This window comes from Homo sapiens, chromosome 4, assembly GCF_000001405.40.
Source record: "Homo sapiens chromosome 4, GRCh38.p14 Primary Assembly".
Classification (NCBI taxonomy): Eukaryota; Metazoa; Chordata; class Mammalia; order Primates; family Hominidae; genus Homo; species Homo sapiens.
Window position 1 is genome coordinate 121210999 of NC_000004.12, and position 16485 is coordinate 121227483.

At 36.1% G+C, this 16485-nt stretch overlaps 1 protein-coding gene across 6 annotated transcripts in view; it reads right to left on the reverse strand.

Annotated features, from left to right (window-relative positions):
• Window positions 1-16485, reverse strand: part of TNIP3 (TNFAIP3 interacting protein 3) — a 96076-nt gene extending 79591 nt beyond the window's left edge. For 5 of the 6 annotated variants that reach the window (NM_001244764.2, XM_047416182.1, XM_011532257.4 and 2 more), the window contains exons 1-2: window positions 16387-16485; window positions 5417-5502 (exon numbers count right to left, since the gene is read on the reverse strand). In NM_001244764.2, the coding sequence (NP_001231693.1) occupies window positions 5417-5502; window positions 16387-16389 (89 nt within the window). In that variant the 5' untranslated portion in view covers window positions 16390-16485. Of the gene's footprint in view, window positions 1-5416; window positions 5503-5587; window positions 5630-16386 lie in introns of those variants that run through there. The other variant, NM_001128843.2, reaches the window with a different exon arrangement.

Sequence of the window (16485 nt, forward strand, 5' to 3'; positions counted from 1 at the left end):
TGCTGGTATTTTCTGTCATAATTGAAAACCCTGATCTGGTAATATAAAGAAAATAAAGGAACTTACATGGTTAGAACAATGAAAATAACTGGACTTGGAAAGCAGAAATGTCCCTGACATAGAAATATTTCCTAGATGTGAAACTGAAAAGTGATTCTCTAGTTCAGTTGTCTTGGAAAGAGGGGTGATGTGTGATTTAAATAATTATGATCCAATTTAACTAACAGAGCAGAATATTTAGAATATGAAGTGACAGCTAGAGTCTTATGTCAATATAAATACTAGCAAATGATATAAAATACTAAAAAGAGGAATAAAAAGGTATTCAAAACAAATCCTCAATGTAACCTGCCTACTCTCTAAACTCATATTTGAACAGAGACATAAGTAATATCCCAAGCCAAAGCCTACAAGGGATGAAAACTCAACTCACTGAGGATATTACATTTAAATTTTCAATTTACGTGAAGGAATAAAAACAGAAAGATTCAAACCAAAGCCAAATTGAATTTTCCAAACTCTAGTCTCTTCATTTCCCCCATTATTTCTTCACTTAGTGCATTTACACAAATTCCTGTCAGAGTAGCACAGAGAGTTGTGAATTTGGTATTTCCAAATTGCCCTGAAAACTAGAATTTTACTAATGCAATACCTTCTATTATATTAACTGGCTTTGAAACTGCTTCAAATTTAAGCCACAGAAATGGAATGTACTGCCATGGAGGGTCTGTATATTGAATTATCAACTCAGAGATGTTTTCAGCATAAACTCTGAAGCCTTCTGCAAAAAGAGAGCAACTCCTTAGAGTTACCACACACAGAAAGGACAGATTTAAAATTCATTCAGCTGGCTGCAGGTTGTCTGTGGCCTGCCTGGGGCCTCCTACAGACCTCCAAGCAAGCTCTGTGCCACCACAGCTTTTATCAAAGACATTTCCATGGAAGTAAAAGCTGAGTGATTTCCAGTCTCTAGACACACAAATTTTATGCTGGTACCAGTACTTCCCAGAAAAATGCTAAGTTGATTCTTGGGAAAATTCTAATTTGGTATTCTTTTCAACATCTCCCAAACACTTTCTGGCATACAGTAATAGCCTTACAAGTGATTTCTACATTGAATCCAAGAGTTTATGCAAGCATAAAGTATTCAAGGCAGACAGAACAAAAGGTGTACTCTAAATATCTTCTTGGACCTTCTGGATAAGGTAGGCCTCAAAATATGGAAATCTGTGTTTATCCCATGGGCGTTGTTTGCATGGAAGAGGCTTTTCTGAAATGTGCTTTACAGAGCCTGGTTCAAAGCACAAGTTGTCCCAAAGCTCCTTGTCTCAAATCTCTGTGAATTTATCCATCCAATAAAACTTAATTTCATCTAATATATTACATATAAATAAATAAGATTGAGAGACTGCTTTCTTAGTGTGGAAAGAGAAGAAACTTAGTCTATTGTCCAGAAACCCAATGTGACTTTGATGTTTATTAGTTTGAAGACATGTAATTTCTGAAAAACTAACAAATTTGAATTGCAAATAAATTAGTAAAATTTATGAAAAAAATTATGATTGGTCTATGATGTTTTGCCTGTCATTAAAAATACTTATTCATCAGTGCTGCTGCTTGTTTAGTGAAAAGAAAAATACTTTTATTTAGCTCTTCAAACTATAAGGTTCTCTTCTACTTAACAAAACAATATGAATGGACGGAAGATACATTTTCAGGGATGTCTGTCTTTATGAAAAGGTGTGAGATAAACTTAACTTACCGCAACTGTATAAATGATTCTTTCTTCTGCCTTTCCAGAATAGTTTAATTTAGAGTCAGGTAAGAAGGGGGTTAAAAATAAAGAGGCCAAAAGAATTGTAAGAATGCCTATGATATCATAAAAGAGATCATTTTAGTTTTCACTTAGCACATACATAGTACAACTAAAACATCTGCCTGTCACTCCATAAACATTCCTACACTTCTCTTCCTTTTACGAGAAAAAAAAATGGAGCTTTAAGGGACTTTTAATAGCCAGCAGCTGTTTGGCTGCTCAATGTTGCATCTGGAAGAGAGTATGCTACTCACATGGAGAAAAAAAGACAAAAGTATTGTTTAATTTTCTTAATGTCCACCAATGCTTTACATAAAGGACGTTTGAATGACTTGAATATGAAGAAAGACACAGAGCTCCTTAAGTGCATCTGAAATCCACCATATCATTACCAGAAGGCATGAAAAACTGATGGCATTCGATCCTGTTTAATATTAGGTTGAATGACTGCTGTTGTGAATGAATTTAATGCCAGGTAAAAGGGTCACTTCATGAGAACACAAAGTCATCTCATTCTTCTGAGATGAGCTCTACTTCAGATTAAAATGAATCATAGTCATTTTTCTTGCATGGTTATAATTATAATTTTCTGAATGCATAATCCATTTTTTTTAAAAAAAGACATTCTTCAGCCAGGCACGGTGGCTCACGCCTGTAATCCCAGCACTTTGGAAGTCCGAGGCGGGTGGATCATGAGGTCAGGAGATCGAGACCATTCTGGCTAACACAGTGAAACACCATCTCTACTAAAAATACAAAAAAATTAGCCGGGCGTGGTGGCGGGCGCCTGTAGTCCCAGCTACTAGGGAGGCTGAGGCAGGAGAATGGCATGAACCCTGGAGGTGGAGCTTGCAGTGAGTCGAGATCGTGCCACTGCACTTCAGCCTGGGCGACAGAGTAAGACTCCGTCTCAAAAAAAAAAAAAACAAAAAAAGACATTCTTCTTACAATATTACCACAGGAAAGCATCTGCTTTAGAAAAATTAAAATATTAAAATGAGGAACTGGTATTACAAGAGTACTTCAAAAAAAGGATGACCCCAGGATCATACATGTTGAGTGGGACTGCTTTCATAATAACAATATACTTCAAAACTGTGTTAAAGGGAAATATAAAAACTATAAAACATCATGTTTACTTTGATAATCCCCCATACTGACAATCAAAAGTATTCCTTCCGCTCCTTTATTTTCCTTTGAAAGGAAACCTGGTGTGGCAACCATAATATCAATACGTAGGACCGAAAGCACTTCAATGAGAAAGGAGTCAGTTCAGGAGTGATAGAGGGAAAGATGACTCAGGTGCTCACTATTCTCTTCCTGTCCTGTTGGCTCTCGCCTCTTGTCTTTATTCTTCTTTCCCACTTCCCTCAGACAAAGACATGGACCGCGGCCCCTGCCTCACTGCCTCATCCCTCATCCTTCCTTCTGCACTTCCGGGTATATACACCCTAGAAGGCAACTTGAAAACCAGCTTCTGAACATTTTAGATTACTATTAAAGAACCTAACCCTATCTATTTCTTTCAGAAATACAAATTTTTAACCACTGTAGAAAAAATGTTAACTACTAAATTCTACATAATTTTCATCATTGTTAAATAGAACTAAACAGTAAATTGCATTGCTGGCTGTGGAGAAGAGGCAAGAGAATGGGACTCAGGAGCTCACACAAAGTCCTCAGAATTCTCCATGTAGAAGGAAATGGCTTGTGAATATGGAGAGGTGGCCGGGTGAGGATTGCCCCTACCTCTTAGAAATAATAGGTTTCTCCCTTCCTTTCTTTTTCCCTTCCTTCTTTCTTTCTTGTCTACACGGTGAAATTTTGCCAAGCATATGCTTCTGCTACCAAAGGAGGATGGGTATCATCTTTCCTAGAAGTTGTTCAACATCACATCATATATTTTTTGCTTCTGTAATGCCTATAGTATCTTAGAGGTTGTCAGTATAATAACTTCATCCTTAAATGACTCCTGTGATGTAAATTTCAATTTTACTAATATTTTATTCAAATGTATATAAAACAGATCAATGCTTATTGTAGACCCACAGTCTTTGAGGGGAGTATTCTGCTGCATGTCGAGTCTTTCCGTTGAGGTAGGTAAAATCATATTGACAAGGAGAGACTTACACACCCAACACAGTTCTAGAATAATAAAGTATAGTGCACAGGAAAATGCTAAATTATATACAATTGAAGGCTAAAATGCTTGTTAAAGATACTGAATGTAATTGATTGAGGTGAATGGGAGAAATCAATATTTCTATATTTATTTGAAATTCAGATCTTTTCCCTTTCCAATTAATTTTAAACACTATTGTTAGAGTAGCCTATTGGAAATCCTTGGCTCAAAATTCTTAATGGTACCCCTTGTCAAGTCATGATTTTCATATTGAAAGTACAGATGGGCCTCTTTTAATGAAAACGTTCTCATAGAGAATCTGAGAATATGACTCCAGACACACAGGATCTCAGAACCCTAGTTTAAGAAATACTGACTTGAGAACTTGATCATTATTATTTCTTGAAATTATCTTTCACTTGAAAGGTATCACAAAATAGAAGTTTTGTCTTTATAAACAGAAATATTGGCCTGTAGAATAAATTCTCAGCTATTTAGTCTCTCACTCAAGAGAGAGTATCAACTGAGTTTCCTTCTTTTTACTACACACCACCTGTGGAAGCCAAAACAAACTGTTAGTTGATCCAGACACAAATACGTGACTTTCCTACCACCACGTCTTTGTACACATTCTGCCTTCAGCTTGGAATAGCCTTTCCTTCTATTTTTCCATCTTTCTCCTGTTTCTCTTTACCAGAAATTAGGTTAAAGCACTTCTTCGTGTATTTCTATCCCACTCTCTGGAAATCTCACTTTCCTCAGATTTCCAAGAACAGTTTATCTGTGCCTCTTTTATGAGGCAGAGCATCCTACCATATATGATGCTTAGGCATCTGCATGGCTTTTCACTTCTAAACTTCAAGCAGCTTGAGTATAGGGTCTGAATCTGATTCCTCTTCTGCAAGTAACAAACACAATATCTTGCATGTATTAGGTGCCACATTAAAAAAAAAAAAAAAGAAATAACTGAACCAACGAATAGAAGGAGGCTTTAAAAAAAACTTTGAAAGATTGATAGAATGTGGAAAGCGCCTAAGTAAGGGATTTTTTTTCATAAGGAACTCAGTAAACTTCTCACCCTCCTTCAGGTGAGCTAAGGATTAAGCAAATCAGGAGAAAAGATACAGCAACTCCTTCAACTTACTGGTGGAATACAGTTGTTTCCTAGGAGAAAAATTTGTGCAATTACAGAAAAACCATCCACCAAGGCTTGTCAATGGAAATTTACAAATACTTTAAAAATCAAATTATCTTCATAACCTACCATGACTTTTGCCCTCTGGATAGCAATAAAAGAAAATATGTTCAGATAGATAGGCCATACTGTTACCCGTCATCTTTTCCTTTTCTATTCTATATAGCTCCATTCAGACAGCTTCTCTTCTACTCTTAATACACTATCATTGCCACAAAGCAGAAGTGCTCTAATTAGAATATTAGTATTAGAAGCATATAATCTCCAAATAAACTGTTATTACCTTTCAGAATCTTCAGATTGATTGGTGAACATTACCAGTTTATCGTCGTGTTTCTCATTTTTGTTCATGAGCCATCCACATGGAATCTAAAATAAAAAAATATGAAGGACATGAGGCTCAGATGTACGTCAAGGGAAGTTAACTATGTCAGTCACCAAAGGAGAAAACCACCTGTTAAATGCATTTTTCATCAAAAGCCATGTTTTTATTCTCATGTCTTGTTTTCAGCCCTGCCAGACCTGAGAAGACAGACCACAAGCCTGCCTTCTGCCTAGTTTCAATGAAAGGTAAACCACTGGGTGTAAACACAGGCTCAGTGAGTTAAGGAAGAATCTCATGACAGGGAGAAATTGTCCAGGAGCAAGTAAAAGAAAGCTAGACATTCTAATACATAGAGCATGAACGGTTAAAGTTGTCAGACTGACATGTTTGTAGTTTAATTAACCCCAGTCTAGGAATGAGTTCTCCAGGAGTGCCTACTGACCCCAGGACACCAGCAGCTTTCTTCTAGGAAGACCGCTCATGCCAGCTTTTTCTCCAACAGGAGTTTATGATTATTTCTATGATTTTCAGGGTAACAAGGGAAGTGGTAATGGACAATGAAAAAAAAGAGAAAAAAAACTGTACTTCCGACAGAATTTGTTTCTCATTTTTTAAATTTATTATTAAGTTTCACTTAAGTTTGGTGCAACTTAAGCACCAAACTGTGGACAAATATTATACAGACTACATAGTATGTCATGGGACTTACAGTAGAATCTTGAGATTGAAGAATTTGAAGAATTGTGTATGCTTTAAAAGCCAATTCCTGCAGGCAATTAACACATTTTAAATGCATCTGGAAACCACCAATTGCTGAGAACCCATCAGAAAATTTAGGAGTTAGGCCCATGGGAAACACGAAGCCAGTTTGTCTGAGTTTCAAGCATTTCTGTTTAATTGTAACAACAACCAAAAAAAAAAGTTTGTTAAAATGCTCCAGGAAAGATTCATTTCAGCTATTGGCAAGCTGGCTGTACATAGTGTTGGAGGGTGGCTTTTTATTTTGTTTTGTGTTGTTTTCGGCTTGTGACAGCTGTTTGAAAATCATCTGTTACCACCATGGTAGCCAGTTACTAGATGAAAGCAAATGCCTTTCTGGATGACTGGAGGAGTTGGACCACCAACTAGTAGAGCTATGTTTTAAAAATGCAAAATTGCAAAACTGCCCATCTTGTTTATATGGAACGCTGGAGATATTACACAATTCTGCAAATATGTTGAAGAGGAAACCAAGTGATAACCATCTGATAGAGTGACTGCAATAAGTGTCCATTTCTGAAACATGAAGGCTTAAATATTTAACTAATAAAGAAATTTGTAGTAAGGTTTTTAAAATGTCTTATATTCTTTCACTATTTCAAAAATTACCGTTAAAATGCTAATTTCCAAGCATATGCGAAATTACACATGGAGTCCTGGAGTATCAGGGAATGATAGAATCTGACACTGTGGAGAACACGCTAAGAATTATAATGCCATCATTTTACAGTAGAGGAAACAGAACTCCAGAGAAAACAAATGACTTGGCTAATTAATGACTGATCTAGGATTAAACACCAAACCATCTGACTCCTAGTCATGATCTTCCATTGTTGTTCATAACTGAAAATTATACAGAGGAAATTTTAAGTTTGAAATAAAATAAAATTAGATACTGATATATTTTAATACTAATATATTTTAAAACTAACCTACAAAATTTTTACATTACAGATACAACATCATAACACTATATTTCTTAGGCAATGTCATTGTATTATTTGAACTCTGGTAGTAAACACCCCAAAAATGGCATGTGCAAAGGGAAATCTCCAGATTTAATATTGTATAGTTTAAGATTTACAAATAATATCTTAGAGGCACTGGAAACAGACAAGATGGAAATGGTCTCAAAGACATTAATTAGTTTACTGAACATTGTATTTCCTTCCTAAATTGCCTTTTCCTAGGCTAGAATTTTACATTTGTTATTATTCTATCCAGGAAGTAAAAATATTAACCAGTGACAATCAGAAAAGTCAATATCCCAGGCATAATTATAATTTCCAATAGTTTATTTTCCTTCCTTCCTCCCTCCCTCCCTTCCTTCCTTCCTTCTTTCCTTCCTTGCTTCCTTCCTTTCTGCCTCCCTCCCTTCCTTCCTCCTTCTCCCCGTCCCTCTTCTTCTCCCTCTCCCTCTCTCTGTCTCTCTTTCTTTTGAGACGATGTCTCACTATATTACCCAAGCTAGAGTTCAGTGGCTGTTCACAGGCACCATTACAGTGCACTATAGTTCTGAACTCTTGGGCTCAAGCAATTCCCCTCCCTCAGGATCCTGAGTAGCTGGGACTCCTGGGCTCAAGCAATTCTCCTCCCTCAGCCTCTTGAGTAGCTGGGACTACAGGTGTGCACTACTTTCCCTAGCTATAGCCACATAAAATTTCTGAGAACCAAAAGATTTACAATTAAAAACCACAGAAGTGGCCAGCCATGGTGGCTCACGCCTGTAATCCTAGAACTTTGGGAGGCCGAGGCAGGTGGATCACCTGAGGTCAGGAGTTCGAGACCAGCCTGACCAAAATGGAGAAATGGTGTCTCTACTAAAAATACAAAAATTAGCTGGGTGTGGTGGTGTGCACCTGTAATCCCAGCTACTCAGGAGGCTGAGGCAGGAGAATCACTTGAACCAAGGAGGCGGAGGTTGCAGTGAGCCGAGATCACACCATTGCTCTCCAGCCTGGGCAACAAGAATGAAACTCCATTACAAACAAACAAACAAACAAACAAACAAAAAACCCATAGAAGTAAGAGTATCCAACTGGCTGAGCATCCTCTGAAGCTAAAAGCAAACACATGTCTTTGTTTCCATCTTTTGATTACTTCTCCTTTTTCCTCCCTCCTCCTCCTTTTCCTCTTTTTTAAGGAATTCCTATACTGCTAAAGAAGCAGCTGTTGCTTTCTGTTTCACTTAGCCGAAAGATGTCCTCTGTTCTTGGATGCATTTCAGCACATCAGTGAAGATCATAAGCTGTTTGATTGTTTAAGCAGAAGTTTACACAATCCATAGTTCCAAAATAACCCAACTTTGAAGGATAAACTTACTTTTGGAAGTTAACCAAGTTTTATGAGCTTTTGGACATTTCTGGTGACAGCTTTTAATATACTTGGATTTCTAAAGTCAGATTCAAGGGCAGGGTGTTCGTATTACCAGTCATACTCAAAGTTTACTCACATAGGTTTTACAGACCTTGAAAATGTTATATAAAAAATTACCAACGAATTCTTATACTATTGTTTACATTTATGTTGCTCAAGTCTATGTTATACATTGAGAGGTGTCCAAATGTAATTCACATACAATCAAATGCATGAAAACTTAAGGTAGAAAGGACTAGAAGCTGACAAGGCATATTTATTTAAATAAAATGTGTTTCTTTCTGGGTCATACAATTTACAACACATAATACCTTCCTGGAAACTGTTTCATTTCACTATCTTTACTAAATTAACATTAAATGTTAACCAGGTTCAATACATTTAGGATAAAATGTCCTCATCAGGTACTAAACCATCATGAAAATTACTATCCTTGTATCCATATATAATAAATAATAAAGATTCTATAAAGTAATAGGCTGAAAACCATACATATGTGTACATTCACATGCTTACAGATATAAAAGTACTTATATTAATTTTTTAGAAATGACATTATACCATTTAAGAATACATGAAAAGCTTTCTTATTGATCACATAAGAGACCTACAGGTAGGCAGTCAGTTAATCAAAATATTAGTTAAAGCTGGGACTCATGAAGAATAATACATTAATACCATATTAATTTAATGTCACTGAAAATACATAGGTGAACATCATTGCTAGGCTCTGTTTTCTAAGGAGAGATCTATTAGTGGTTGTCCACATGTGTCTTCTGGCCCACAATAAATCCTTGGTGAATTCTAGTTTTGGTTTCTTTACAAGGGAGCAAAAATTTTAAGACATAAAGCAATCTGAAAACAGAATGCTTTTAGGTTTTTATGATAATTAACTACTTTTTTTTTGTATTTGCCCTCACCATCATCCAATTCAAATTTGGTAACTTAACCTTTACTAGATGTTTCCAAGATGCTAAAACTAGCTTGTACTGAAACAATGTTTTTTTTTAACCTTTTGGTACTCATGTATCATCGGCTTATATACATTTTATTTAAATATATAATGGCAAAAAAGTAAAATTGTCATAAATAGCGTGGGGGAATAAACAAAGCTGATCCTGGGTAAACGTACCACTTAACTTTTAGAGTCAGAAATAAGTGAATGTCCTTAGCTGTGAGCATTCAGCGTGCCTTAAGTGCCAGTCTGTGTGTTTTACTGAGCGAATGGACAGCAGGATTCGTTCCTGCTGTGATTTGGCTGAGTAGGGGATGAAAAAGAGCAATACGTTCAGTCAAGAGTGGGAAAATGCCTGCAGAGTCAGGAAGCTGACATAAATTGGTGACAAGTGGTGGTAGGGGCTGTGGTGAGTAAGTGAAGACATATCCTCCCCAAAGGTATTAAAATTCTGTTTAAAAAAATCAATGAGAACAAATAAAACATAATGCTCTTTAAAAATTTTTGGTTTACTGTTAGCAATTCTCATGGCCTTTTGCAGTTTCCAAAGCTTGAGATATTTGTTGCCAATATGTGGATGATAATGGACAACATTTTGAGATCCTTGCTATTATTGGTAAGAAAGAAATGTAAAGAACTATAACATTTTTAGTATAAAACCTTGGTTATGTTTTTCTAATAATATCTTTAATATTCAGTCTAAATCACTCTTAATATATAAAATAGCCAGTTTGTATGTTCAAGAAGTTTTATCCTTAAAGTTCCCTATCAGTCATTTTATCTCCATAAATATTAAAAAAGAAAAAGGAATTCACTTAGCCTAGAAACAGGAACAGTAAAGCAGATCACGTGACTATAAAACTAACCTAAATTTACAAGCACAAAGCTAAAACAGCAATAAAAGATTTCAGATAATTTCTATGCAAAATGAGGCAAATGCTCAATGTTGTTAAGAATATGATAATGATATTCAAAAAAAGGATATGTTACACATTTTAATTCATTTATTTCCTCTAGCAAATAAGATTCCTATACCCAACAGGTACTTAAGGACCTTTGATTACAGTGTGGAAGAAATTGGAGGAGAGGAAAATTACACACCACTCTCATTTACAGTAATGGCTCAAGGGAAATTGAGAACAAGAAAGAGATTTTTGGCTGCACATCGTTTGGCTAAACCAAAAGAAAGAACTACCCAACAGAGCTGTAACTATTTTTTTTTCCACTTCATATTTCTGAGAAAGGTGTCAAATCAGGGGACTTTCATCACCTATTTCCTTCTAAGAAGTCTTTTTGTTTTATAGCAGTAAAGTTTTTTGCCACCACAGGTTCTCTACAGCTCAATCACATCAGAACACCTGCATTTCTTCTTCATGCAAAACTGACATTTGAGGACTGAATCTAAAAAAGTTCCTGAACCAGGAGTCAGGAGACTAAGATTCTGTCTGTCACCAGGGCTATCACTACATTTGCTTGTCCCTGAATGTCGATCACCAGCTCTAAAATGAGAACAGATTGTACATTATAGTAGCTAAGAGTGCTCCTAATACTTAAGTGTTATGAAAACTGGTCATCCTAGGATTTTTGCAATGTTGCTATATTGCTCTTGATGCATCTTAGAGGCTTAGTGAAATATTAGTGAATTTCTTCCCCTGCGAAGAGGACCTAGTTTTCCATAGAATGTTCCTTCATTCTGCAGAAAAATGAGCATATCCTTGTTCTGAGTCTTTATTCAGCTCTATTTGGGAATATTCCTGTATTGTGGATTTCTACTGATAAATTTCATCAAAGCACCCCAAATTACAAATTCGCTTTTTCAAACGTGTATTGGAAGGATGATTGGGTTTAGAGTCAAAAGATGTGTATTCAAATCTGTCTCTCACGTTTAACAGACTATATGTCTTTGGGCATATTATTTAAATACTCTGAGCCCCACTGTCCTTACCTACAAAGTAAGGATAACACTTCCCTTCTTCAAGGAAAAGTCCATAATGATTAAACAAGACACTGCATTTACAAGCAACTTTCACCTCAATTGCACTATAAGGTGACTTTTCTAGTGTTGCATGGCAGATAGTAAGCTCCAAATAAATGTGAGAGAATTTAAATTTTGTTTAATCTTCAAAACTCACTGGAAAGCCTGTAGAGAAAGCGATTTTTATGGGACATAAATGTTATTATACATGTTATTAGTTATTAATTGTTGGTTGTTCTGCTGAAAATCATGAAAATGTGGAGCTGAGGGTGTTTTTTGTGCGTTTTTTTTTTTTTTTTTTTGAGACGGAGTCTCGCTCTGTCACCCAGGCTAGAGTGCAGTGGCGCGATCTTGGCTCACTGCAAGCTCCGCCTCCCAGGTTCACGCTATTCTCCTGCCTCAGCCTCCCGAGTAGCTGGGACTACAGGCGCCCACCACCACGCCCGCCTAATTTTTAGTATTTTTAGTAGAGATAGGGTTTCACCGTGTTAGCCAGGATGGTCTCGATCTCCTGACCTCGTGATCCGCCCGCCTCGGCCTCCCAAAGTGCTGGGATTCCAGGCGCAAGCCACCGCGCCCAGCCAGGTGTGTTTGTTTTTATGAGAATATGCTTCAGGTGAAACTAGTAACGGATCGCTTTCATATCCATTACAGGTGTGCCAGCCTTGGCCCATCCTTAGCCTCCTGCTAACTGTATCAGTTCCTCCAGGCAGATGCTCACCCGCTTGAAAGGGAAGTAAAGGACAGCCTGAGCCAATTTATCAGATATCTTTGCATACCAGGATTTTGTTCTGAAGTAATAAATTTTGTTTTATAACTATGCATTAATTTTGAATGCAGTTTAGCAAGCAATGACCAAACTTAAACCTGGTCTTGTACAAAAACAATTCAAACTTTAATGCTGGATTCGTTCTCATTATTTCCATGGTAAAGTAGCTGAAAGATGGTTTTAAATAATAACACACAATAATATTCATGTCCTATAAGAAAATCACTTTTGCTACTTGCTTTCCAGTGAGTTTTGAATATCAAACAAGATTTAAATTCCACCACATTTATTTAGACCTTACAAGGCTCCACAGAAACTAGAAAAGGTAAAAATGCCTCATTATCACACGTGCATTTCATCATAGCTTTATGAGATTCAGAGCATGAAGAGCAGAAGCCAGAGCTGTGTCCTTGAACACCTTTCTTAGCTTCCCTATCCATTAGCACAGTAGGTATATGCATAATTGTAATACTAGTTTTTCTACTCCTGTCAACAGATCATTAGCAACTAAGAGGAAAGAGTATAATGAATTCTGATTTCCATCAAATTTTCAGCAATAGAAGCAATATCAGAGACTATTCTTTCAAAAAAACATACATTATTACTATTAAAATCAATCAGTTGTGCTAAATCTAACCACGGGAGGCTACACAATGATTATCCCCAGATTAACAAACATCAATACAAAGAACTATGCTGTCTCAATTCCTCAAATGAAAATAAATGGAAGACTGTTCAATTATAATAATGAATAATAATGAATGATCTCAGCTCTCTGATTTTAATTAGTGCTCTCTGCTGATAATAAAAAGTTGAGATGCCAGCACTTTGGGAGGCCAAGGCAGGAAGATCACCTGAGGTCAGGAGTTTGAGACCAGCCTGGCCAATGTGGCGAAACCCCATCTCTACTAAAAGTACAAAAATTAGCTGAATGTGGTGGTGGGCGCCTGTAATCCCAACTACTTGGGAGGCTGAGACAGGAGAATCACTTGAACCCAGGAGGCAGAGGTTGCAGTGAGCAGAGATTGTGCTACTGCACTTTAGCCTGGGCAACAGAGCAAGACTCTGTCTCAAAAAATAAAAAGAAAAAAGAAAAAAGAAAAAGAAAAGTTGAGATGAGACTTGATCCCTGAGCACTGGACTTCCGATACAGAATCCACACTTTGGCTTTTACCTGTAAAGCTCAAGATCCTCTCAGACTAATTATACCTTAATGTTCATGTTGTTCATGGTTATGTTTTTTGATATTTTTATTGCTTTTAAACAAGTGACAGAACACTCTCTAATTAGAAATTCATCTTATTGTTTTCACCCATATTTAGGCAGGTTTTAATTTGTCTACCTTAAACTCTTTAAAGTTGATAATCTTTCTACTCATTTTTTTCTGTTAAATGATTTTAGGTATTTCTTTTCATTATAAATAAAATTTGATTTTTATAGCTTAAAGTTAAGCTGAACAATTTTTCTCTTATTTTAATATCTATAATTGTTTTGCCTTTCGTAATTTAAAAAATGTGAACTATCTTCCTAGAAGATTTTTGAACACCTTTCTAAGTAAAGAGTTTGGGGGAAAATGACAACATATTCTCTAATATTGAAAAAAAATGACAACATACTGAACAGCATACTGAATATAGTGTGTCAGCATACACTGTGTCCGAGAGTCATCTGGCTGTAATCTATATATCTATATTTATTCACATCAAAAGGAAACATTTCACCATATTTGAAATTTAAGATGTAATTGAAAACTGAGAAAGGGATCATTTGCCTTCAAATGTATTTTATTAACTATACTGCTTAAGACTACATTACATCCTATATCCTTTCTTCTTGCAGAATTCATACATGTCAGATTAGCAATGGCAGAGAATGACTAATTTTTATTACTTATCACAATGATCCATTAACTATGTACTAATTGCCCCTTGTGACTGTCATCCAAGGTTTTTTACATACTTAGATTAATCAAGAGATTCATTTGTTTGGATTGTGCTTTGCAACCGCTAGAATATTTTCCCCCCATATGATGTCTTTGTTTCAAAACAATGGAGATATTTAATCTTGGTCATGTTTTCAAATATAATTGATTTTTTACTCATGCTCTGTGCAATTTCATTAGAAAAGCATTTTTTCTTCTTGTTTTTTTCTTTAAGACTTGTGGATGTACACGTGAAAAGTGATTTCTTTTTGTTCTAAGGTCTTTATCCTTCATGAAATAAATATTTGAAAGATCCAAACTGTCACAACTCCAAACAGATGGGAGTACAACTATGAGTAATAGGTGTTCCTCTAATAATTCATCATTATCTGATCTTAACAAGAAAGCAGTGTTTAGAAAAAGAGCTAAAGAGTAAAGTGTTAAAGAGCAATTTTTAAAAGTTAACAAAGTGAGGTCTAAGGTTTTATCCTCAGCAGGAAGTATTTAGTTGGCCAAAAACTTAGTAAGCACCTTTGCCTTCCCCTTCTCACTCCTTCTCTACCTTGGCCCCCGACCTGGACAAGGAGGCCCCCAGGACTTTTGAGGAATCAGGGACTTTGACTGATGAGATAAATGGGAACTTTGCCTGTCTCTTCTACACTGTGCCACAGGTCTCTTTGACAGCTATGTGCTTTAGGTTCCTTTAACAGGAGGAGTCATATTTAACAGTCAATTTCCCATGTTTAAAAATTATTATTTCTTCCTCATTCATGCCTCATTAATGTCATTAAAATTGGGAAATTGTATAATGGCTGCAAATTTCATTGAGAGAATTGTACTGGAAGCCAATGATAATTAAATATATACTTGGAGAGACAGTAGGACCAAGCAGAAGGGGAGACAGAAAGAGAGAGAGACAGAAAAACAGGCACAGTGAGAGATCAAGACAAAAAAGAGAGAAATAGACAAAGGGGGACAGAGACAGAGAGTGACAGGAAAAGAGACAGAGGCAGAGGTACACATAGGAAAGAGAGAGAGAGAGAGCGACAGAGGCACAAAGAAAGAGAGACAGAGTGAAAAGGAAAAGAGAAAATGAAAAGGCATAATGTTTTTCTCTTCTAGACTTTAAAAATTCATTAAAATTCTGATATAAAAAATACACTAAAAAAGTTGAGAAGATCATATCTGAAAATAGTTTGTTAACGTTGATCCATTCCACAAATATTTGCTTTTTGCTCATTAGGTTAAGGCCTGATTCAGGCCTTCCACTGTGGGGACAGGTCTGTGCATGCAGTGCCACTTGAAAGGACACTCTGGGAGTCTCTGCCACAGGGCATTGATCGAGATTCCTAAGAAGAACAAAGTTCTCAGCATTTCACAGCAGGGAGTTTGCGGTTAAGCCAGAAAGCAAATGTTATCAGATTCAAGAAATATCAGCACTGCGCCTGTAAGCATCTAGTCTACCTTTGTCTACTGCTGGCTTTTAAAATGAACCTTCCTTGCAGGATAGTTTAACTGCTCACACTTAAATTATTCCTAGGGAAGTTTATTTTGCAATCTCGTTTGGGAAATTTGACTGTTTAAATAAAACAGTCCAGTAACTTTATATTCAGAAATACATTCTTTTAGAATGTTTTATGCTCCCCATTGATGTGATTCTATAGCACCATGAAGAACACGGTGAAAAATGTCCCCTGCAGAGGAACACACTAAATGGATGCTGGCTCTGCTCATTGCTTAATCAAGATTGTTCAACCCTGTAATATCCCAAGAGGGAAAGCATAATTATTCATATAAGTACTTACATTTAGTTATTATTTATAGGATTTTTAGAAGTAATAAAGCAAATAGGGTAACATTCACTTAGTTAAATGTGTCATTTCCAAAGCTTATTTTATCTGATGTGCACAAAGGGGCTAACTAACAAAAGCTGTAAAATAAAAAATGTAAAGGAAACACCATGCATTATTACATTTACAACAAGTTCTATCTTATTTCTCACCGGGAACACATAAAACCTTATCTTAATTGTTAATATTACTGAGTTCCTGATCAGTTATATATGTCTTTTTAATATGAGAACTTTATGCATTTTAAAAAAGAAATTAAGTTACAACCAACCCTGGTAAGTAAGCGAAATGAAAGTAAAGGCACAAGACATTATGTTACTCACCATGTTCTATCCTGAAAGTCCTTCTCAGATCTAGGTAAGCGTATTACAAGGTCTAATACGGAGACCTGTCTTTAAGACTCTTTGAATCAAACAGTAACT